Source organism: Homo sapiens, chromosome 4, assembly GCF_000001405.40.
Source record: "Homo sapiens chromosome 4, GRCh38.p14 Primary Assembly".
NCBI classification, from domain to species: Eukaryota; Metazoa; Chordata; class Mammalia; order Primates; family Hominidae; genus Homo; species Homo sapiens.
The window spans coordinates 22,376,510-22,400,774 of record NC_000004.12 but is presented as its reverse complement, the minus strand read 5'-3'; the positions used below and the strand labels follow the sequence as shown (position 1 = coordinate 22,400,774).

Sequence of the window (24,265 nt, the reverse complement as noted above, 5' to 3'; positions counted from 1 at the left end):
ATTTATCGGCTGTGTTTCTATGGGCAATCTGTTTAACCTTTTTTTTTTCTTTTGTTTGCTTTTAAAACTGTAATTAAAAAAATATATAACATGTGATCTCTGTAAACAAATTGTTCACTGTACAGTACAGTATTGTTACCTGTAAGCACAACATTGTACAGCAGATACCTAGAACTTTTCATCTTGTATAATTGAAACTCGGTATGCATTGAACAACGACCCCTTTTTTCTTCTCCTCCAATCTTATGGCAGTCACCATTTTCTTCTTGGCTTCTATGAGTTGTGACTACTTCAGATACCTCATATAAGTGGAATCATGCAGTATTTGTCCTTCATTGACTTACTTATTTCATTTAGCATAATGTTTCAACGTTCATCTATGTTGGTGAATATGATTTTCCTCTTTTTTATGGCTGAATAATATTCCATTGTATGTAGAGACCACATTTTCTTTATCTATTTGTTGTTGATGGACATACAAGTTGTTTCTATCTCTTGGCTACTGTGAGTAATGCTTCAGGGAACACAAGAGTGCAGGTATCTCTTTGAGATTTTGATTTTAATGTCTAACCCTTCTGTGTCTCAGTTTTCTCACCTATAAATTGGGAATGATAATCGAGTTGTTGGATGATATGATTATGTACACAAGTTATTAGAATTAATAGGAACGTTTAGCAGAGACGAACTGCTAGTGTGCAGAAATACAACTATGAGAAAACATAATGAGAAGGTAGCATTTACATGGTGTCAAAGACTATCAAGTATCTAGAAATAATGAAAAATGTTCAAGATTTATGGGTAAAATTAAAATGTGTATTAAAGAAGACCTAAATAAATGGAAAGATATAATAGGTCAAAGGATAGGAAGACTTAATATTAGCCAGATGACCATTCCTTTTAAGATTAATCTGTAGAATTTTTTATGAAACTCAATAAGATGATTTTTAAATTTATGTGAAAATAAATGACCAAAGAAAGACAAGACACTAATAAAAAAGAGGAGCAGAGCCAGAAGACTGTCTTCTAGTCATCAGGGTTTATGAGGCTATGGAAATGAAACCAGTGTGGTATTAGCAGTAGGCAGAGATAAATTGGCCAATGGGATAGAATGGAGAGTCCAGAGGCAGACCCATGGGAACTTTGATGTACAACAGAGGGGATGATGTGCCTTGTCAGCTGGGGAAGAGAGACCACCATTCAGTAAATGGAGCTGGAGAAAATCCATTTGAAAAAAGATTAAACTGGGTCTTTAATGCCTCATGCCACATTAAAAAAAAAAGTCAACTCTAGGTGGTTTAAAGACTTACATATCCAAACCAAAATCTTAAAACCCTTTAAAAAAAAGTTGGAGACCTTAAGATAAGGAAGGCCAATAAGACAGTGAAAGGCATCCACTAGAAAAAAAATAATTTTGACTAAAAATAAGAACTTGTATTTATCAAGAGCCCTTAAAGAAGCTGAAAAGGTAAGTTACAAATTGGAGGAATCTGTTTACAATCCACACAACTAACAGAGCATTTGAGTAAAAAATATATCAGTAACTATAATCAGTGAGAACATCACAACAAGTCAGAAGAAAAAGTAGCAGGAGAATGGATGAGCATGTCGTAGAAGAGCGAACACACGGGTTCAGCACATGTGTGCAGAAATGTTCAACAGCATGGGGGTCATGGAGATGCCAATGAAGACAATTAGTTACCATTTTATGCCTTTTCCATCAGCAGAAGTTAAGCCTGACAATGCCAAGTCTTGATGAACATGTGGACCCACAGGATCCTTTTACATAGTTGGTGGGAATGTAAGCGGACGTCCCCTGGGAGGCATTGCCTTCTATAGTTACATGTTCATGTACCCTGGAACCCAGCAGCCCCACTCCTGTACTCAGAGTAACCTTGCCTGTGTGCACGTGAATATGAGCATGGATATGAATATTCATTGCAGCACTATGCACAATATCAAAAACCTGGAAGCAACCCAAATGCCCAGCACAGAGAGAGTGAACTAACAAACCCTGTGTTATTATACAAGAGTCAGAACCAATGAATTATAGCAATGCAGAAAAGCACAAATTAGTTTTAAGTGAAAAGTTGAAAAGTAAGTCCGATAAATTAACATTCACCATTTGTTTTTTTTTAATAAAGGTAAAAATCACTAAAATAAACAGCCCACTTTAACAAAAAATAGGTGCAATAAAACTATAAAAGAGAAAGCAAGGGAGTGATGAACAGAGGTTGTAGGGTGATGATACAGAGGATATAATAGGGTGATAGTTACCTGTGATGAGGGGGTCATATGATTAGATAACAGATTATTGACAAGGTCCTACCTTGTGTCTTGCTGGTAGATTCTTATGTACTTATCATACTATTAACAGTAACTAAATAAAGGCAGGTTGTGCTGGGCCCACTCATTAGACTGTGAGATGATACTGTGGCTTATGATTAATCCAATATTGTATACCTGAGATCCAATTTAAAATGTGTGTGTGTAACAATTGTTGAGAGGATTAAATGACTCAAGCATCTCAAGAGTACCAGGCATATACTAACTGTTCAATAAATGTTACCTGTTACCACTATTATATTAGTATTATTGATGAAATTACCTCTCATCTGTGTGATATATTTTTGTTTTAGGCTGTTACTACACATCTGTAAACAAACTGCCTACAAGAAGTCAGATGATGGGTCTCAGATCAACTACATCCATGTGTAGAAGATAGCTCCTCTGTGTTCTCAGTCTTTCTCCTCTTCTTCATGTCGCTGACTCCCACTTACCTTGCAGGTCTCACTTTATTGTTACTGTTTCGGAGATTCTGTTCCTGTATCCCCCAGTGTTATTCTGTGGACCTGTATTATTCTGTTTTCATGCTGCTAATAAAGACATACCCGAGACTGGGTAATTTATAAAGGAAAGAGGTTTAATTGACCCACAGTTCCACATGGCTGGGGAGACCTCACAATCATGGTGGAAGGCAAAGGAAGAGCAAAGTCATGTCTTTCGTGGCAGCAGGCAAGAGAGCGCATGTGCAGGGGAAATCCCCTTTATAAAACCATCAGATCTCATGAAAGTTATTCACTTTCGCAAGAACAGCTCAGGAAAGACCCACCCTCATGATTCAGTTACCTCCCACTGGGTCCCTCCCATGACAGATAGGAATTATGGGAGCTACAATTCAAGATTTGGGTGGGGACACAACTAAATCATATCAGGTCCTTACTAAAATTCCATACTGCCTATGAAACTTTATGATTTACTGTTTAACTATCTCTGAACTCTAAGCTCTCCCTGGACTCCAAGCTCTACAAGCATAAGAATTATAGTAGTTGAACTTTGGGAGGCTGAGGCAGGCGGATCACGAGGTCAAGAGATCGAGACCATTCTGGCCAACATGGTGAAACCCCATCTCCGCTAAAAGTACAAAAATTAGCTGAGCGTAGTAGCGCTCGCCTGTAGTCCCAGGTAATCAGGAGGCTGAGGCAGGAGAATTGTTTGAATCTGGGAGGCAGAGGTTGCAGTGAGCCGAGATTGCACCACTGCACTCCTGCCTGATGACAGAGCGAGACTCCATCTCAAAAAAAAAAAAAAAAAAAAAAAAAGAATTACAGTAGTTGATTCACTGGTGCTTATCCAGGGATCAGTACAAGGCCTGACCCATAATAGATGCTGGGCAAATGTTTACTGGGTGAATGAACAAAAAGAAGCCTCTGTCTGCACATTAGAAGGCATTCAAACCTGGAGCCATTTTGACTCTATTAGGAGAGTACTCAGCACACAGTGGCAATAAAGGTCTTCATTGTGTCTAAAAGTATTCATTGATTTCTTGAAGCAGACACATAAATTTATTTCACTAAGGAAATGAATGGAAAGACGCTGTTGTAAAGATGACTGCCTTTCATTGTCCTGAGTGGAATTTTCTACCATTTCTAAATGGAAAAAGAGAGGAATTGCAATGAGTTTTTAGGGCTTCAAGAACAAATGCCATTAAAGGTTTACAAAAGGGAAAGGCAAGTCTAGACGTTTCATTGTCGTTCTCTTCTATGTTTATAATGTGTTTCCCTTTGATGAAAGACATAGCATCATTCTTATATTTCTGACTCAGACATTCTTTGCTTCACTTTGTCACTGTAATACTCAATTCAGGTAATCACCGGCCGAGAGCAGAGTGGTAGAATGCAAAAAGGACTAGTCTAGGATTCCAGATCCTAGTAGCTGGGTTCTAATTTTGTGTCCTGCCAGAACAGCTTATGTGAATAGTCCCTTAACCTAGTAGGGGCTTAACGTTTCTTCTATAAAATGGGTCAGGCTAGTTAAGTTAAATGATTGTTAAGGTTCTTACCTCTGACAACCTGAGCCCTCATGTGTACATGTTTTTATGTGCAGTTTGTCTTTATTATTCCCTTTGCGAGCTTACATATTTTATGAACAGTATAAATGGGTTGTAATGTAGTTTCTTCCCTCACAGTGATTGCTTGAAGTTATTAAAGGTGCTACCAGCCAGGTACTTCTCACTCTGGTTTCTAAATTCATTTCAGGTAGGACCTTAGGTGCTTTCTACGGCCTTTAACTCTCTTTTGCTAAAGGTGCTGAAGGAGAACTAAGAAGTTGAGTGACGAAGTGCAAGGGCCGTTGACTCAAGTCTGGAAGGGATCTGTGTTCTGGTTCATGATACACTGCCAAATAATTGGTTGTTAATTTTTTGGTCCTTGGTTTTCTTAGCTCTGCCATAAAAGGATTCAGCTGGATCTTATCTAAGATACCTTGTTGCTCCACCAATCCATGATTGAATTTATTAAATGTAGTGCCACCCACCCTTGTTAGGTGCCCTTGAGATCTGTTATTTAGAGGATTGCTGCAATGGCACAAGAGATGTATTTGGAAAAATCTGATCAGTGAATATTAAGACCATTCTACTTGTCAACTACTGTGCATGTTTTATGTCTTAACCTTCATATTAACCCTAGGAGGTAGTTTTTCTTTGTGTATTTTATAACTATATAAACTGAATCATAGACAACTGAAATAACTTCCCTAAGTCACTAGGACCATTAGGTGGCAGAGGCATGATTCAAATGCTAGTCCGTTTGATTCCGAGTGCCTCTCAGCCCCCATCACTCTGCTTTAGTACTTAGTAGTGGACACCGTAGGGGAGAAGAAAGGGCAAGGGCTTTGGAACCATCTAACTTCAGTTTGAATGACAGCCGTACTATTGACTGTGTAATCTCTAGTGGGTGACTTCTCTCAGTCTTAGTCTCTGTTTTCATATCTCAAGATTAACACTGACCTAATGGTGATGATAAAAGGATAAAGTGAAATCACATGCAAGAATATGTTTTTGGATACATAGCAGGCATTTATTAATGGAAGCTGTTAATATTTTAATTGTTTACATATTCATCATCTATATGCTTGTATTCATCATAAAGTTTATTTTTTGGCACAATTGTTATGCATAATGCACTGCTGTAGGCGTATTGGTTGTTAAATGAACTCTAGTATGTGAGAGTTTACAGTTAGATAACAAATACATAGAGTGGAACTTTTTAGGATAATTATTTTATACCCATTTTACAACTTTGGAAATTAGTGTCCCGAGGTAAGGTGGCTTTCTTGAGTAATAATCTACTGCATTTAACATTAGTTAATAATAGTAATTATTTACATGCCTTATGAATTAGATTACTTCTAGATAATTTACAGAATTGCCATGTACATCTCTGATTTATTTGGAAGAAAATGTGATAGCAAGGTTGTATTTCATGTAGACAAAGTGTGAGATGGAGAATACAGTAGGAAGTACTACATTCCAAAAGATTAAAAAATCTTTCCTACTAGATTTTAATCACTCATTTTTTCTGAAATTTGTAGAATATTTAGTGATTTGCTTTCCTGACTGTGTTAGCAGATGTCATCATACCCCTAAAATTCCACTATTGGTAATAATCAGGCTTCAGTATCTTTAAGAGTAAACCTCCTCTGGAAATTTAGAAATGCCATAGAAAACACTTCAGTGCCTAAAGATGTGTTTTGTCCCCTGTAGAAAATTCTTTGTTTGACACCTCCTATGTGGGAGTTGCCTTTAACCTGTATTTTTACTTTTGTATTTTAGAGCCCTACCTCATTCTTTTGACCTTTGTGTCAGAGACACCTCCAGCAATAGTAGAGTTGACCATTTTGAGTCAGCATCTGATTTGTTTTGAATTTATTGGTTTCTATGCATCAAATTCATTTATACTATTTTTACTTACAGTATTTGGTGTGACTTGATAGCTCAAAAGGGTTATTTTATGCTTTCTGTTCCACTTCTGTCTATAAATTTTGCTTTCACAGCGCAGTCAGCAAAACTAATGGGAACCATGAAGCCACTTTTCTTTTTAAGACGATCATTTCTGACGTTTGTAGTTGGGCCAAACTTGATCCCACCTCCCAGCACCTCAGAGCCACTGCAAGGTTTATCTGGAGAGGGGCCACCCTGGCTTTCTCCTGCAAAAGAAGATTTGGGCTTTCAGGTCACCAAGTGTTTGCTGCAGATTGGTTCTCATTAAAATAAACTCTGGACAGTGGTCCATAATTTTATTATCGACCTTTGATTTTCTTGAGGTTGGAGAGGCATCCCTTTAGAATGACAGATTTTTTCTTGGAATTTCATAATTATATAAAAAAGCAGTGATTAAAAAAAAGCAAGTTACTGGTTAAGAAAGCTGGATTATGTCCTTGATACTCCAGTGACATATGACATTTACTTTTCTTAAACTAAAATTTAAGCTTCTCTCATTTCCTCACATCTTCATCTAGAATTTCATCCTCAACTAGAGTTGCTTCATGTATAGGTCATGTGATAAATAGAAACTGTAAGTGTATCATTTGCATATATTGCAGTTATCCTATACTTACTGAGCACCTATTATATCCCATGAATTGTGTCCATTCAATTCCTACGAAACCCCTAGAGGTGGCGATTGATAATTTTCTACTATTAAATTGAGGAAAGTTAATTTCAGAGAGGTCGCATTATTTCCTCAAAATCACATTCTTAATAAGTAATAATATAGTGATTTCTACTAATTGCTTGTCACACACTAGGCGATTTGCTAAATGCTTAATGTGGACCATCTTACTTAACCTCACAGTACTTTTATATTACTCTTGGTTCCCAAGTGAGGAAGCCAGCACTTTAGGTCTTACGTGACTTTGCTCAGATCACCCAGCAGGTAAGAGGTGAATACCAGTTTAAAAATCAAGGAAAATTTCATTTCTGAGTTCACCCTCTTAACCATCAATATATTATTATATTGCTTTGTGATTGTTACAGTGTATAAAAGCTCTGAATCATATCTCAGGTCTCTTACTCTGGAACTTATTCTGTGTGTGCTGTGGCCTTCACCCTGTAGTTAACCTGTGCCCTCTGTATATTCCTCCTTAAAAAGAATGTTAGAAAATGGACTCTAGGCCGGGCATGGTGGCTCATGCCTGTAATCCCAGCACTTTTGGAGGCTGAGGTGGATGGATCACCTGAGGTCAGGAGTTGGAGACCAGCCTGGCCAACATGGCAAAACCCTCTCTCTACTAAAAATACAAAAATTAGCCAGGCGTGGTGGTGCGTACCTGTAGTCCCAGCTACTCAGGAGGCTGAGGCAGGAGAATCACTTGAACCCAGGAGGCAGAGGTTGCAGTGAGCCGAGATCACACTGCAGCACTCTATCCTGGGTGACAGAGCGAGGCTCTGTCCCAAAAAAAAAAAAAAAAGAAAATGAACTCTAATGTATAATGTCACATCTATGAAAAACACACTTTTGGTTTAATGTCTGGGAGCCAGTTCTGTCCTGTATTAAGGGTCGTCTTTGGTATAAATGGTAGTTTGTGGGCTTCCTAGAGCCAATTGTTGGTTTGTGTATTTGAGGATTGTGATTCCCTGTCACATGTCTATTAGAACACAGTGTTGCCTTAGCAGGCAACAGAGTTGATTATTAGGATAGGCCTTCCTGCTGCTTTCAAATCAGACTTCTGAGTTACTTACCAATTTTGAGGTAAGCCTTAGTAGGAACATTTTTTTTCTTTTATTTATTCTTTGATCTTCCTTGTAGGTTGGGATAATTCTTCACTATTCCACCCTTGCCACAGTACTATGGGTAGGAGTGACAGCTCGAAATATCTACAAACAAGTCACTAAAAAAGCTAAAAGATGCCAGGATCCTGATGAACCACCACCTCCACCAAGACCAATGCTCAGGTATCTCATATCTTTGTTGTATTAATTGTTTTGTTTGCTTTCATTGAAGCATAATCATAAATTATAACAAAATTGCTGAGTGAATTTTGGGAAGTAAAAGAACGGACTTGTATGCAGGACTGCCTGGTTTTGAAAATGGCTCAGGCATCCTTCCCGCTGCGAGTCCTCAGACAACTTCTGTACCCTCTCTGAGCCTTCCAAGATCATCTCAAAAGTGGGGCTGATTCTCCCATCCTCGAGTTGTGAGGAATAAATGAGTAAATGGGCAAAGCACTTAAGAGGGGATTGGCCATATAATCGGCTCTATGAAACTGTCAGCTGTTTTTATTTCCTTGAGGTCTTATGTCATACTCAAGTATGTATCAGTTTAATTATTCTATGCAAAGGACAAGAAGACTTGTGTGTTTTTCCTATCCATTATAATATGAAAAGTGGTAAATGGATTATCATGCTGGATGAATAAAATCTATCAGTGATGACCAAGCTTGTTGAATGCCTGATATGTCACTGGCCCTGGGCCAGGGATTTACAGAAGACTCCCTTGCCCTTTGGGAGTTTATAGTCTGCAGGAGGAGAAAGGCATGAGCACTGACTGCGCTGTGTGAGAAGCATAGTGGAGATAGGTTCTTTGAAAATGTAAAGAAAGAAGCCATTAATTTTGGGGGCGGGGGGTTGTTAGGAAATGCTGGACCACTGGCGTGAACTTTACTGTGATCATGACAAAGTGTAGAAGTGAAGAGTGAGCTGAGGAAACCTTGAGGAATGCAGTTTGGCTGGAGCCTCAGATGTTTGGTGTCAAGTAGCAGGAATTCAGGATGAAAGTTGGCTTTGAGGCCTTTGTGTGTCCTATTTAAAATGTGGGCAGCCACTGAAGATTTTTAACTAAGGGAGTGGCCTGACATGGTGTCATTTTAGAAGGATAGCTATGGCTCTAGTATGGAGTATAAATCAGAATTCCTAAGAACAAGGAATTCTGCTGAGGTTATTAGGGCAGCCCCCATGAAGACCAGAACAGTGTCAGGGAGAACACAGAAGAGGACACAAGTTTGAGAGGCTTGAGGCAGTTTCTCTAGGATTGATGTCCAGCTGGATTTAAGAGAGTTGTGTGAGGGAGAGAAATTTGAAGATGGCTGCAAGTTGTCTATTCTAGCTAGCTAGCGTGCCTTGACGGAGGGTGTTTCCATCAACTGAGAAATAAGATAGGAAAAGCAGAAATGGCAGGTGGGCGGGGGAGACATGGAGAGGGGAAATGGGGTGGCAGGCTCCTCAGTACTTTCTTGTGGAATGTTTACATTTTTTAGAAGTCCAGGGCTCAGCAGAGAGGACAAGCTAGAGATTGTCTAGGAGGAGCAGGAGACATTTCCTTATGTGGTCACTGAAGCCATGATAATGAATAGGAACTCCCAGGGAGAAGTTAGTTAAGAAAAGAACGATACTTGGACCTTATTAATGTTTAATAGATGGGCCGTGGAAAAAGTCACTGGATTTTTGGCTGCAGAAAGAGAACACCCGAGAACATGGATGATTTGTGGGAGAGTGGTTCTGTGTTTGACAAGGAGCAGCAGGGGTGCTCCGTGGCCCCAGAGTTATGTTGTAGGATGAGATTTGACACCTCCCTCACTTCTATTAAGAGAAATGAGAGATGATGGTGTTTGGCTTAGAAACTTGGGAATCTTAACCTTAAGCAGCTGTTCATTCCTATAAGGTTCTGAGAAGAAAGATAAAGAGTTAAGGAAAAGGCAGCTGGTGCTTCAAACTCTCTGCAGTCCCCAAATGACACACAAGTATCCTCTTTGCATTAGACAGCTCAAGCTCCGCCCTCTAGCCCTGCTTCCCCCATATCCTTGAGCTTATGGAAGCCTGAGCAACACTGCTGCCTACCTGGAGGGTGGGACACGAGATTTGCCAGTGAGATTCTTCTGACCCCAGAGAGGACATTTTTAGCATCATGGTGGTGAGTGGGTACAGCTGACAATAAGGTGATAAAGGCGAGAAAGTGGTGGTACCAGCGTTGGCAGAAGGAAGAGAGAAAAGAAGTGGTAGTTCAAGGAAAGTTTTAGAAGATGGGGAAACTTGAATATATATATAATACGTATTTTATATATATATATAATACGTATTATATATATATAATACGTATTTTATATATATATATAATACGTATTATATATATATAATACGTATTATATATATATAATATGTATTTTATATATATATATATATAAGCAGTAGAGAAGCATGCTAGAAATAAGCAATAGAGAAGATTTTAAAGATGCAAAATAGGGTTATTTGATAACAAGAACGGGGGTAGGGGGCGTTGAAAGAAGACAGAGAGGGTGATAGGACCCAAGATTAATTTTGGAAATAATACTTTCTTTTCAGGTAAGAAGCAGATGTGAATTAGTACAGCAGGAAGAAGGGGAAGGTCACGTATTATTGGCATCTCTCTAATCTGTGGAATAGAAGGCAGAATTATAGTTTTATAGGGTAATTAGTTTTCAGCAGTACTAACATCATGTTAAAGGATTTTAGTAACTAGGTACAAGGAAGAAACAATATATGGACAAATGTATCAGAGATATTGCCTTTATCCACCCAGTGCAAGATTTGGGGCCATGTCTCAGGAAGGAGCAAACGCAAAATTAAGATTCTGACTTACCCAGAATGGAAATTTATTTTCAGAGAGATCAAGGAGCTCAGAGATGAGCACAGAGTTTTTCTTTGTAGGACCAGTCACTGCTCTGTTTCAATCAGTTTTTATTGCACCATCATTTCCCTTGCTGTCCCCACCTCTCTTTGGAAAAGGGGTCAGGTAGGGCCTCTGCACTCTGTGAAGCTGCTGGGATCCAGATACCTTCCTTACCTTAATCTCAGTGGACTGGCGATGAGATACACAGCAGTGGGCAGTCCTGGGACATGCAGGTTGAGCTGAACATTAGTCAGTAATTAATATGTCATTACATTTCTTGTGTGAACTAAGGCACTTTTCAGTTCACCGGCTGAATCTAAAAGAAGCCAGTTCCTGCTACAAAAAAAAAAAAAAGTAAGAGTAAGTAAGCTGAAATCCTACCAGCAGGCTCAGAGTGTTACTTTGCCTGTCCACAAGGTGGCAGAAGCCGATCAGCTTTCCTCTACTCAGAAACTTACTAGACCTTGTGCTTTAAAACAAGAAATCTAAAAAACAAAATAAAAACACATTACTGCTAATAAATCAGCCTCCCAACTTAACTCTCAGCTTATTATTGGAATAAAGATAATAATTAATCTTCAGGGAATGACTTTTGAAGTACTGAGACATTATGAGAGATACATGTTAAGAAATGGAATGATGAGTGGTTTTTCCTGTGATTCCTCCTTCTAGATTTTACCTGATTGGTGGTGGTATCCCCATCATTGTTTGCGGCATAACTGCAGCAGCGAACATTAAGAATTACGGCAGTCGGCCAAACGCACCCTAGTGAGTATTTTATATTCTCTGTGTACTTGACCCAGTTGTTTCTCTTTTAAGTATTTTCTAGGCATTACAGGTGATTGCAATTTCGTAGATAATTTGTTGAAACATGTAGCATCGATCTGGTTTACCATTTTCTTTTCCAGTTGCTGGATGGCATGGGAACCCTCCTTGGGAGCCTTCTATGGGCCAGCCAGCTTCATCACTTTTGTAAACTGCATGTACTTTCTGAGCATATTTATTCAGTTGAAAAGACACCCTGAGCGCAAATATGAGCTTAAGGAGCCCACGGAGGAGCAACAGAGATTGGCAGCCAATGAAAATGGCGAAATAAATCATCAGGATTCAATGTCTTTGTCTCTGATTTCTACATCAGCCTTGGAAAATGAGCACACTTTTCATTCTCAGCTCTTGGGGGCCAGCCTTACTTTGCTCTTATATGTTGCACTGTGGATGTTTGGGGCTTTGGCTGTTTCTTTGTATTACCCTTTGGACTTGGTTTTTAGCTTCGTTTTTGGAGCCACAAGTTTAAGCTTCAGTGCGTTCTTCGTGGTCCACCATTGTGTTAATAGGGAGGATGTTAGACTTGCGTGGATCATGACTTGCTGCCCAGGACGGAGCTCGTATTCAGTGCAAGTCAACGTCCAGCCCCCCAACTCTAATGGGACGAATGGAGAGGCACCCAAATGCCCCAATAGCAGTGCGGAGTCTTCATGCACAAACAAAAGTGCTTCAAGCTTCAAAAATTCCTCCCAGGGCTGCAAATTAACAAACTTGCAGGCGGCTGCAGCTCAGTGCCATGCCAATTCTTTACCTTTGAACTCCACCCCTCAGCTTGATAATAGTCTGACAGAACATTCAATGGACAATGATATTAAAATGCACGTGGCGCCTTTAGAAGTTCAGTTTCGAACAAATGTGCACTCAAGCCGCCACCATAAAAACAGAAGTAAAGGACACCGGGCAAGCCGACTCACAGTCCTGAGAGAATATGCCTACGATGTCCCAACGAGCGTGGAAGGAAGCGTGCAGAACGGCTTACCTAAAAGCCGGCTGGGCAATAACGAAGGACACTCGAGGAGCCGAAGAGCTTATTTAGCCTACAGAGAGAGACAGTACAACCCACCCCAGCAAGACAGCAGCGATGCTTGTAGCACACTTCCCAAAAGTAGCAGAAATTTTGAAAAGCCAGTTTCAACCACTAGTAAAAAAGATGCGTTAAGGAAGCCAGCTGTGGTTGAACTTGAAAATCAGCAAAAATCTTATGGCCTCAACTTGGCCATTCAGAATGGACCAATTAAAAGCAATGGGCAGGAGGGACCCTTGCTCGGTACCGATAGCACTGGCAATGTTAGGACTGGATTATGGAAACACGAAACTACTGTGTAACATTGCTGGGCTTCCTAGGCAGAAATTCATATAAACTGTGATACTCACATTCCTTGAAGCTATGAGCATTTAAAAACTGTTTACAGCCACCATAGGGATTCAAAAGAATTTGGAATAAACTTTGAAGTTTTGGATTTTACTTATTTTTATCCCCAAATTGTTGCTATTTTTTAGGATCTGAAACAAAATCTTTCTAAAACATTGTTTTAGTTGTCAAAGCACCAACAGGACATTTTGGGATGTGAAATGTAATTTCTTGGAATCTGTAATTTGTACTTAATATTTCAGGCTTGTATTTAATATAATAAATAGGTGTTTGTTATTGTGTCGATCTGTTATTTTTATATTTTACAATATAAGCATTTAGTTCTATTTTAATGAAATTAGTGGTTTGGGGTATTTTAATTAGAGTTACACATAAGTCAGTTATATATATATATTGCATGGTTAAGTGTATTGATTTTGGCACATAAATCAAAGTGATTTTTGGGTTGCTGTATTTTATAAGTCTAGTTTTAAATATTACCAGGTTTTAAAAGGATCTCTCAGGATGTTTTTTGAAAATGGAAATGCCTAAAAAACTTCCTACGTTGCCTTACTTTTGCGTTATTCCTTGGATCCTATTAATACTATTTTCAACATGGTCGTGGCCTTTTCATTGCTTTATATTCGGTCTTAAGTTTCTTACTCTTTTTGGTGTGGCCAGGTGGGGGTGATTGCTGCACGAAAGTTATTCTTGAATGCAAATGAAGAGCTACCACTTAAGGTTCACATTCTTCAATATTGGCTCTTATGTTGACTTTTATTTTGTACTTAAACAGATAAAGTTCCTTAGATTCATGCTGAAGTACTGATTAAATCCCATTCCGGAATTCTAAAAACAGCTCTACTGCAAAAGTTCTCGCTCACTGGTCTTTGCTACACTGCAGTCTAACCCATCTCCTGTCCTGAGTCTCACTGTGGTTCTCAGTTCTCTCGTATGCAAGACAATGTCTGCAAAATTGACACAACTTTGATCTCTTTTCAGCGGAAGTCTAAAGGTTTGAATCAGATTGGATTCAAAAGTACATATTCGAGAAATGCAAAAAAGAATCAAGCCGTTTAGCTTAATAAACTTCAAATTCTGAGAGATTAACTGCTTATGTACAGAGAACAATTCTCTGAGCCATCCTGAGATTACCCATTCTAGTGTAAATGTTCACTTTTCACTGGGTTACTGCATTAGAAATGTTATTTTGCTTGACAATAATAAAACCGATAGTTCTACTTAAGCCTTTTAGGTTTGAGTTTTAGAGATGTTATTTTATGGTGGGGGAAATAAAGCAGCCAGTGGATAGATTTGGCTATATTTCCTGGTTTATGGTCTCCTGGTAAATTGATATATTATGTACAAGATGGTGTTTGGAAATGACAAAGATAAGCTAATAAGAAATGGAGTGAATAATTCTTATTTATCACTATTTTTTTGTTTGCTCGGTGTTTAACCTGTTTGACCTGCTGGTCAGCTGTACCTAGGGAGATAACTTTCTTGTTCTTCTTTTTCCTGCCTCTGCATAGGAAGTGAGGAATTTTCCTTCCTGGAAGATGTTGCCCATTCAGCAAGCATTTATTCATTTAAACATGCCTTATTTTAGGTAACAGAACAGGTGCTGGCGGTGGGGAAGGACTGGAAAAGAAATCAAACACTTGGAAGAAGATGGAGATTCTGCTAAAAATGTTCAAGGGGATTTTGTTACTCATAGCGTGGAGAGTGATGAGCGATCACTTACTCATCCTTAGTATTTCAATTAGAGTTTTGATATTTGTATATAGGAAGTGAGTAATATATTGTATTCCTCCCACCTTTGTCGTTTATGATTTATAGCTGAGATTCTCTATTTTTCATAGAATTGTAAACTGCTAACAGATGTTTCAGTTTTCTTAGAGATCAGCATGATCATTTTCCTAATTTAAAAAATTTGACAACTAAGATCCAAAGAATTTCTGGCTTGCTGGACATGCTGGCAGGTTATACCATGCCCACGGCTAGAACCATGTTTGCCAATGCTGAGGCCGCCGTGCTTGGCAACACATTTCATTGCTTTTACGGTGTTTATTATCTATAAAATTGTATCAGACTTTATTCTTATCTTAGTTGTTTTGAGTTTTAGTTTCATAATAAGGTATAGTTGGTTATATTCTGCTTAAGGAAACAGTTATGATTCTTTTATTTCATGACAGTTGTTTTGTTTTGTTTTGTTTTGTTTTTAGAGTTGAGGTCTCACTCTGTTGCCCAGGCTGAAGTGCAGTGGGGATCATAGTTCACTGTAACCTCGAGCTCTTGGGGTCAAGCCATCCTCCCACCTCAGCCTCCTGAGTAGCTGGAACTACAAGAACAAGCCAGTAGCCCGGCTGTTTTTCTTTTTATTTTTGTAGAGATGGGTCTCACTGTGTTGCCCTGACTGGTCTCAAACTCCTGGCCTCAAGTGATCCTCCAACCCTTGCTTCCCAAACTGTTGAGATTATAGATACGAGCCATTGAGCCCAGCCAAAAGTTGTTTTCTTAATGTAAACATTATATCTACAGATTACATATATAATGTTATATACTAACCTGCTTTTTAGGTAACAGTTAGAAATTAGATTTGTGTATGACTATTTTTGTGACTAGATTTATATACTAACGTACATGTATATTAATATTTCAGGTCATTAATAGGTGGCAACTGATTTTTAAATCTCAGGATATTTTGGATAAATGTAACAATGTAACTATATGTATGTTCAATATATTTATATTAGTAATATATACAGATGGCAACTTAGGTTTAGTTGCTGATTGGAATCTATACATAGGTCTCATTATAGAGAAGCAACAATGTTAGAACAGACTTACATGTTTCAAGTATTGAGTTCAGAATGCCCAAACTGAAGTTGGTTGAGAACATACAAAATTAGGAAGTAAAAACATTAACTGAAAACATCTGATGCAGGAATTAAACTAAATCATCAAGGTAAGTGAGGCATACAACAGCAATCCAAAATTTAAAACAAATCTTAATTCTGTTTTTCTTTTTGGATTCCAGTAATCATTTAGTTATTTTAATATTGACTCCAGTGCTTTTATCTGAGAGGTGATTTGATTGTTCATAATCACTTAATGATGTTTTCCAAATTTGAGTCATTCTGTCACTTTTGCTAATTTTGTTATATTTTTCTTAACACTTGTATTAATGCTGTCCATGGATTATTGCTTATATTGAAATATAAGCAATAATAAATTATATTTATTATATATATAATATATTATTGAATATATTGAATATATAATATATTATTGAATAATATATAATATATTATTCAATATATTATATTGAAATATAAGCAATAATAAATTCAAAATAAAATCAATAGATTTATTTGTATAAACAAGGCAATTTCTCCTGAAGGAGAAATTTTTCATTGTTTGTAATCTGCCAGTGCTAAAAATGTGACTGCATGTTGCTAGGTCTTAGACAAAGGTGAGATTGTAACCAATGAAATTCTGCTTTTTGTTTGTTTGTTTAGTTTTGGTATGAACTCTCTTGAATCCTTCTGACCTACTCAGATCATTTCACAGCCATGTCTTTTATTGGCCATGAGAAGCTCCTAAGCAGTGGTCATAACTGGGCTACGGGGGATACTGATTGATGAACATGTACAGTGTGTGTTAACTTAGTTGTTGTTGGCTGATAAACGTGGTCTTTCCACCTTTTTTGTAGACCCGACCCAGCTTTGTATTATGTGAGGCCCCAGGCAGCCTTTGGATAAAGCTTTTTCTTCAGCCTCCTTTCACTGGGGATGCCAGAGGCTTAGAAGTAGATACTGAATGTGAATTTACAGGACCATAGTATTAAGAAGCTTACATTTATAGAGTCATTGATGGAGGTGGACCACTACGTTCTCTGATAAAGTTCAATGCTTAGAATTACTTCCTGGCCCAAATCTCACTAGTCTTCTGTTCAACAAACTTGTTTGATGCTGCTTAAAACACATATTAACCTAATTGCATCATATTTACAAAATGGTAGGAGAAAAGAGACTGTGTGTGTGTATGTATATGTAATCCATTATTTACTGCTGCCATCTGGTTTAAGAAGACCTTTATCAGGTATTTTCAAAAAGTTCAAAATGTTTTCAGAAGACTCTTCAGATGCATTCCAAAGAATCCAGCTAATCACATCTTCAATTTTGTAATCATTGTGTTCACCCTGTTTTGGCATATAATACTGATGAAGGTTTGCTTTTATGGATAAATTTTGATGTTCTAATCAGGACCTATATTTGCAAGACATGGTTGCTTGCAAAGCTGGATTTGGTCATGAGTACTGTGAATGGAAATTGATCTCAGGACCCCCAAATCACTAAGCCAAAGGAAAAGGTCAAGCCAATGGGAACTGCACTGGGCAAACCTGACTCCCATTCTATTCCTAAAATAAGATAGCTATGAAGATAAAAAAAAAAAAAAAAAAGCTACATACTTCCTCACAATGTGCCCACCAGGAAGTTCCTTGTGGACAAAGGACAAACAGAACTCAAAGTCATCCCTCTGCTCATGTGAGACAAATGCGTATCTGATTGCTTCCTTTGCCCTGTTGTTTCACTAAGCCAGACTAAGGCATAAGTGACTATAAATTGTGTATTCGATGAAAAGGTAATCAGAAATTCAAAAGAATGCAATAGTTTGTCTCTTATCTACCTATGATCTGGAAGCCCCCTCCTGGCTTTCCAGACCGAGTTGTACCACCTTTTCAGACCAAACCAGTGTACATGTTACACATACTGATTGATGTCTCATATCTCCCTAAAATGTAAAAATCCAAGCTGTACCCCTACCACCTTGAGCACATGTCATCAGGACCTCCTGAGGCTGTGTTATGGGCATGTCCTTAACCTTGGCAAAATAAACTTTCTAAATTGACTGAGACTTGTCTCAGATGTTTTGAGTTCACAGTGTTACCCGAAAGCGGTCCTGATCCAGACCCCAAGAGAGGGTTCTTGGATCTCGTGCAAGAAAGAATTCAGGGCAAGTCCACAGTGCAAAGTGAAAGCAACTTTATTAAGAAAGTAAATAAAGGAATTGGCTACTCCATAGAGCAGCCCCGAGGGCTGCTGGTGCCCATTTTTATGGTTGTTTTTTGATGGTATGCTAAACAAGGGGTGGATTATTCATGCTTCCCCTTTTTAGACTATATAGGGTAACTTCCTGACGTTGCCATGGCATTTGTAAACTTGTTACGGTGCTGGTGGGAGTGTAGCAGTGAGGACAACCAGAGGTCACTCTTTTGGCCATTTTGGTTTTAGTGGGTTTTGGCTGGCTCCTTTACTGCAAACTGTTTATCAGCAAGGTCTTTTTGACCTGTATTTTGTGCTGAACTCCTATCTCATCCTGTGACTTAGAATACCTTAACTGTCTGGGAATGCAGCCCAGTAGGTTTCAGCCTCATTTCACCCATCTCCTATTTAAGTTGGAGTTGCTCTGGTTTACATGCCTCTGACATTTCCACCCTCCCTTTTATAACAGAACCCTTAATCCTAAGGGTTGCAGATGGACAAAGATTCATCTTCTGTAACTTCTTCAGGCTGAATAGGAATGATGATATTCCTGCCTAACTATTAGGGTCTCTTGTGTTCAGGGTAGACAGAAGCTCAATCAGAAAGCATCAGTATGGCGAGGGCCGTTTACGACTCGAGTTTCGACAAGAGGTGTTATCTGGAAGATTAATAAGTGTTCAATTTAAAACATTCAGTAAGCTTGTCCTGTATTCCTGCACGAAGAGTAGAACAGCAATATATTCCATAAAAGTAAAGCAAAATAAAGTTATTCCAAGTAAACTAAATTAGAAGGCTTTTTATGAACTGGGCAACTGTTGGAACTAAGCTGGTATGGGGTTGTTAGCTGATTGTAATGTGCCCAGCATTAGAATACTAATCCAGATTTTTATATTACCCATCCTTCTTGTTTCTTCTGAGCAGCAGTCAGAGATCACTGGTTGGTTCACAGGAATAAGCAGGATTAGCCTAAATTGCAGAAACAAACTTAAAACAACAGATGAGACTAGAATTTAATAACAAGTTTACCATAGTTCTTGAAACATACTATTTCTCTCTCCAGTTTCCTATTTTTACTAAAGACAATTGATGGTAAGACTGATTTACTTTATTATAATTGGCCTGATTATTTGTATAAAGTGCAGCAAGAATAATTATTTTTCACATAGACTTTTTAATTGGCTTTAAAGGAACTCTGTTTCATAAGGAATCTCAGATAAGACTTTTTTAAAGCCGAGCCCCTCCATGAGTTTGTATCCTCAAATACCTATAAGTTGGGTAAATTCCTTTCTTTTTGAGGTCCCAAGATAACTTTGGGCTCCTAGGCCTGTAAGAAAGTGACATTCTTTACCATAGTTCAGAAACCCTATACAGGGACTATATAGGCGAGGTATGAGGCCAGTTCCCCAGAGGGCTTTTATTGGCTCTACAAGTCAGGTTTGATTCCTTAAAGGAAAACACACCATTCCAGTCGAAGCCTTGGTAAAAACCAATTTCTCCAATTGTGTCCGGTTACAAAAGAAAACAGATTGTTATTGCACTTATGCAAATAACTATATAGCCATAAATTAAGAATACTCACAGTTTCCAAATTTTGGAGAAATCATAGAGAGAGAAACAAATAATGCTCCAAATTTTGTTCACAGGAGGGTATTTTACTCAATTGCTGAAAGCTGTAAATAACTCAAAAGAAAAGTATTCTTAACTCTGAAAAGCAAAACAAAGGATCAGCAGCATTTTAAGCAAAGTTAAAAAGATTACACTTCTTCAGTTTAGTCCATGTAGTTAACTTCTATTTGATAGTTATGAACATTTCAGCTCCTTGTGAGGGTTCTGAAAGCTTTTTCCTTTATTCTGATGTCACAATCTACAAAGTTATCAGAAAACCTGCATTTAAGAACACCTGCTAGAGTTCTATAGTTGATTATAAACCACCTTCTAAAGAGATTAAAACAACAATTGTCTGTGAACGATTCTGGAAGTTTTAGGACAGCCACTATTAAAGCCACAATTGATAAGGAAATTTGGTTACTTCTGTGGCACACAAAATTTTACATAACAATTAACACATTAAACCATATTAGAATTATAGGAGTTTCCCATAGCTTTGGAACATATACCAATAACACATTTATGTAACTATAGTCCAAAGAAAGCAAAGCACTATTTCACATTTGATAATGCTTCCTGTATGATTTTTATACCAAATAAGCCAAATTTTACCTTTACATTAATGTACTATTAATTTGAAACCCGTTTTAATAAAATCGTATGGACATATTTACCCAATTTTAATGTTTAACTGTAAGATAAGATTCTTATAAAACTTTTATAACCCTTTATTTTTGTGAAAGAGCAGATTAGTGCTCTAAGAAAAACCTGTGGTGCTTTTATTCCAATGTTTAATTTTTAGAAAAACTGAATAATACCCCTTTAACTTTAGCCAATATGTTTGCACACAGAATCTCTCACAATTAATTTTTTCAAACCTTCCACAACTGTTCAAACCGTTAGCTTTATTCTAACTTAAAACAATTCTTTAACCTTTTGGGCAAAAAATCCACATTCTCATGCCTTCTTATAATATTTACCAAAAGTACATTTTACTTTCCTTACACACCTTGCATGTAAAACTGTTTCTTCGATAGTCTCAATTACATGTTACAATGTTAACTTTTAGCAACTTTTACTTTTGGTGAAAACCCTGGTTAGTAAGAAATTTTAATTGTGTACTAGGTGTGGTGTCTAGCCTAGGACACACCAGGCAGAACTGCAGATAAGAAACTGATGCTCCAGCATAGCTAGGGGACGTGGCTAAGTCCACATGTCCCCAGGCCTTATCTGGAATCTAATGGCTTTAAAGTAGGTAAATTGTTATGATTTCCATCTTTCGCATTTGCTGAGGAGTATTTTACTTCCAATTATGTGGTCAATTTTAGAATAAGTGTGATGTGGTGAGAAGAATGTATATTCTGTTTATTTGGGGTGGAGAGTTCTGTAAATGTCTATGAGGTCTGCTTGGTCCGGAGCTGAGTTCAAGTCCTGAATATCCTTGTCAAATTTCTGTCTCTTTGATCTGCCTAATATTGAGGGTGGGATGTTAAAGTCTCCCACTATTATTTTGTGGGAGTCTAAGTCTCTTTGTAGGTCTCTAAGAACAGTGCAATCAAATTAGAACTCAGGATTAAGAAACTTACTCAAAACTGCACAACTGCATGGAAACTGAACAACCTGCTCCTGAATGACTACTGGGTAAATAACAAAATTAAGGCAGAAATAAATAAATTCTTTGAAACCAATGAGAACAAAGACACAATGTACCAGAATCTCTGGGACAGAACTAAAGCAGTGTTTAGAGGGAAATTTATAGCACTAAATGCCCACAGGAGAAAGCCGGAAAAATCTAAAATCGACACCCTAACATCACGATTAAAAGAACTAGAGAAGAAGAGCAAACAAATTCAAAAGCAAGCAGAAGACAAGAAATAACTAAGATCAGAGCAGAACTGAAGGAGATAGAGACATGAAAACCCCTTCAAAAATCAGGGAATCCAGGAGCTGGTTTTTTGAAAAGATTAACAAAACAGATAGACTGATAGCCAGACTAATAATGAAGAAAAGAGAGAAGAATCAAATAGACACAATAAAACATGATGAAGGGGAGATCACCACTGATCCCACTGAAATACAAACTACAATCAGAGAATACTATAAACACCTCTACACAAATGAACTAGAAGATCTAGAAGAAATGGATAAATTCAAACCCTCCCAAGACTGAACCAGGAAGAAGTCGAATCCCTGAATAGACCAATAACAAGTTCTAAAATTGAGGCAGTAATTAATAGCCTACCAACCAAAAATAGCCCAGGACCAGAGGGATTCACAGCCAGATTCTACCAGAGGTACAAAGAGGAGCTGGTACCTACCATTCCTTCTGAAAATATTCCAAACAATAGAAAAAGAGGAACTCCTCCCTAATGTATTTTATGAGGCTACCATCTTCCTGACACCAAAACCTGGCAGAGACACAACAAAAAAAGAAAATTTCAGGCGAATATCCCTGATGAACATCAATGCAAAAATCTTCAATAAAATACTGGCAAACCTAATCCAGCAGCACATCAAAAAGCTTATCCACCACTATCAACTTGGCTTCATCCCTGGGATGCAAGCCTTGTTCAACATACGCAAATCAGTCAACGTAATCCATCACATAAACAGAACCAATGGCAAAAACCACATGATTATCTCAATAGATGCAGAAAAGACCTTTGATAAAATTAAACACTTAATGCTAAAAACTCTCAATAAACTAGGTATTGATGGAATGTATCTCAAAATAAGAACTGTTTGTGACAAACCCACAGCCAATATCATACTGAATGGGCAATAGCTGGAAGCATTCCCTTGGAAAACTGGCACAAGGCAAGGATGCCCTCTCTCACCACTCCTATTCAACATAGTGCTGGAAGTTCTGGCCAGGACAGTCAGGCAAGAGAAAGAAAGACAGTGTATTCAAACAGGAAGACAGGAAGTCAAATTTTCTCTGTTTGCAGATGACACAATTGTATATTTAGAAGACCCCATTGTTTCTTAAGCTAATAAGCAACTTCAGCAAAGCCTCAGGATACAAAACCAGTGTGCAAAAATCACAAGCATTCCTATACACCAATAACAGACAAGCAGCCAAATCATGAGTGAACTCCCATTCACAGTTGCTACAAAGTGAATAAAATACCTAGGAATCCAACTTACAAGGGATGTGAAGGACCTCTTCAAGAAGAACAACAAACCACTGCTCAAGCAAATAAGAGGACACAAACAAATGGAAAAAACATGGATAGGAAGAATCAGTATCATGAAAATAACCATACTGCCTAAAGTAATTTATAAATTCAATGCTATTCCCATCAAACTACCATTGACTTTCTTCAGAGAATTAGAAAAAACTACTTTAAACTTCATATGGAACCAAAAAATGCCCCTATAGCCAAGACAATCCTAAGCAAAAAGATCAAAGCTGGAGGCATCACGCTACCTGACTACAAACTATATTACAAGGCTGCAGTAACCAAAATAGCATGGTGCTGGTACCAAAACAGATATATAGACCAATGGAAAAGAATAGTTACCTCAGAAATAATGCCACACATCTACAACCATCTGATCTTCGACAAACTTGATAAAAACAAGCAATGGGGAAAGGATTCCCTATTTAATAAATGGTGTTGGGAAAACTAGCTAGCCATATGCAGAAAACTGAAACTGGACCCCTTCCTTACACCTTATACAAAAATTAACTCAAGATGGTCAAACTCAGTTTGACCTTAAAGCATTTAACAAATCTGATATTTGACCTTAATTTAGACCAAATGTCTACATTTTCAAGTCATTTTACCGATAATATTTAAAACCGTCTTTATTTTTCAAAAGATTACTAAAGTCATATGAACAAAAAGGCATTAAAGTTTCTATTTTTCTGACAAAATATTTAAGTGCTTATTTTTAAAGCCAATTAATTAGAGCCCTTTTACATATAAACATACAACACATAAATAGACAGAAGATTTACCACTTGTAAGATTCTTTATTTGCCAGTTTCTTAATTGTATTACTGGCTTCAGGGTGGAGCCCTTGGAGCAACAGGGCCAGGAAAGCATGTGTTTCTAGGGCCAAATAAGTAGCAAATAAGCAGCTGAAGGCAAAGACAGATCCCTAAAATTAAGGGTGCCATTTTACACTGGATCCTGGATCCCCAAAAGGAGAGAATTCTATGGGGGAAGACAGTGCAGTGCTTCTACCCTGCATTTCATTGCAAGGCAACCCAAAGCTAATCAGCCCATTTTGTAATCAGCCCATCCCTCATGGGAGTCTCATCTCCCAGCAGGGGTTGGGGATGTTTCCTTATCTTCCAGGTGGCCAAGAGCATGCTTCTCTGATCCAAGCGTGCAAAGAGTTAAGTATTCCTCCATAACTACTATTAGTCATCCCTTAAAGTATATTTCCTACCTAGTTGTTACATACCAAAGCTCTCTCATAATGCAAAGTAATTTTTGATACCCCCAAAACTCAAAACCGTCAGATAACACAATGCAAAACAGAACACAGCCTTTGATTTTGAG

At 37.9% G+C, this 24,265-nt stretch overlaps 1 protein-coding gene across 6 annotated transcripts in view, besides 1 other annotated feature; it reads left to right on the top strand.

Annotated features, from left to right (window-relative positions):
- Positions 1-13,399, top strand: part of ADGRA3 (adhesion G protein-coupled receptor A3) — a 128,691-nt gene extending 115,292 nt beyond the window's left edge. For 4 of the 6 annotated variants that reach the window (NM_145290.4, XM_047449703.1, XM_047449704.1 and 1 more), the window contains 3 exons: positions 8,085-8,230; positions 11,592-11,687; positions 11,828-13,399. In NM_145290.4, coding sequence (NP_660333.2) covers positions 8,085-8,230; positions 11,592-11,687; positions 11,828-13,070 — 1,485 coding nt within the window. In that variant the 3' untranslated portion in view covers positions 13,071-13,399. Of the gene's footprint in view, positions 1-2,636; positions 2,916-8,084; positions 8,231-11,591; positions 11,688-11,827 lie in introns of those variants that run through there. The other 2 variants (XR_007096381.1, XM_005248137.6) reach the window with 2 other exon arrangements.
- Positions 14,283-15,482: an enhancer, noted in NCBI's record as "P300/CBP strongly-dependent group 1 enhancer chr4:22386916-22388115 (GRCh37/hg19 assembly coordinates)". NCBI's record gives its function as "activates an origin of replication core promoter dependent on BRD2, BRD4, P300/CBP, MED14 and CDK7 cofactors, with strong dependence on P300/CBP, by STARR-seq in HCT116 cells {active_cell/tissue: HCT116}" and the evidence as "EXISTENCE:reporter gene assay evidence [ECO:0000049][PMID:35650434]".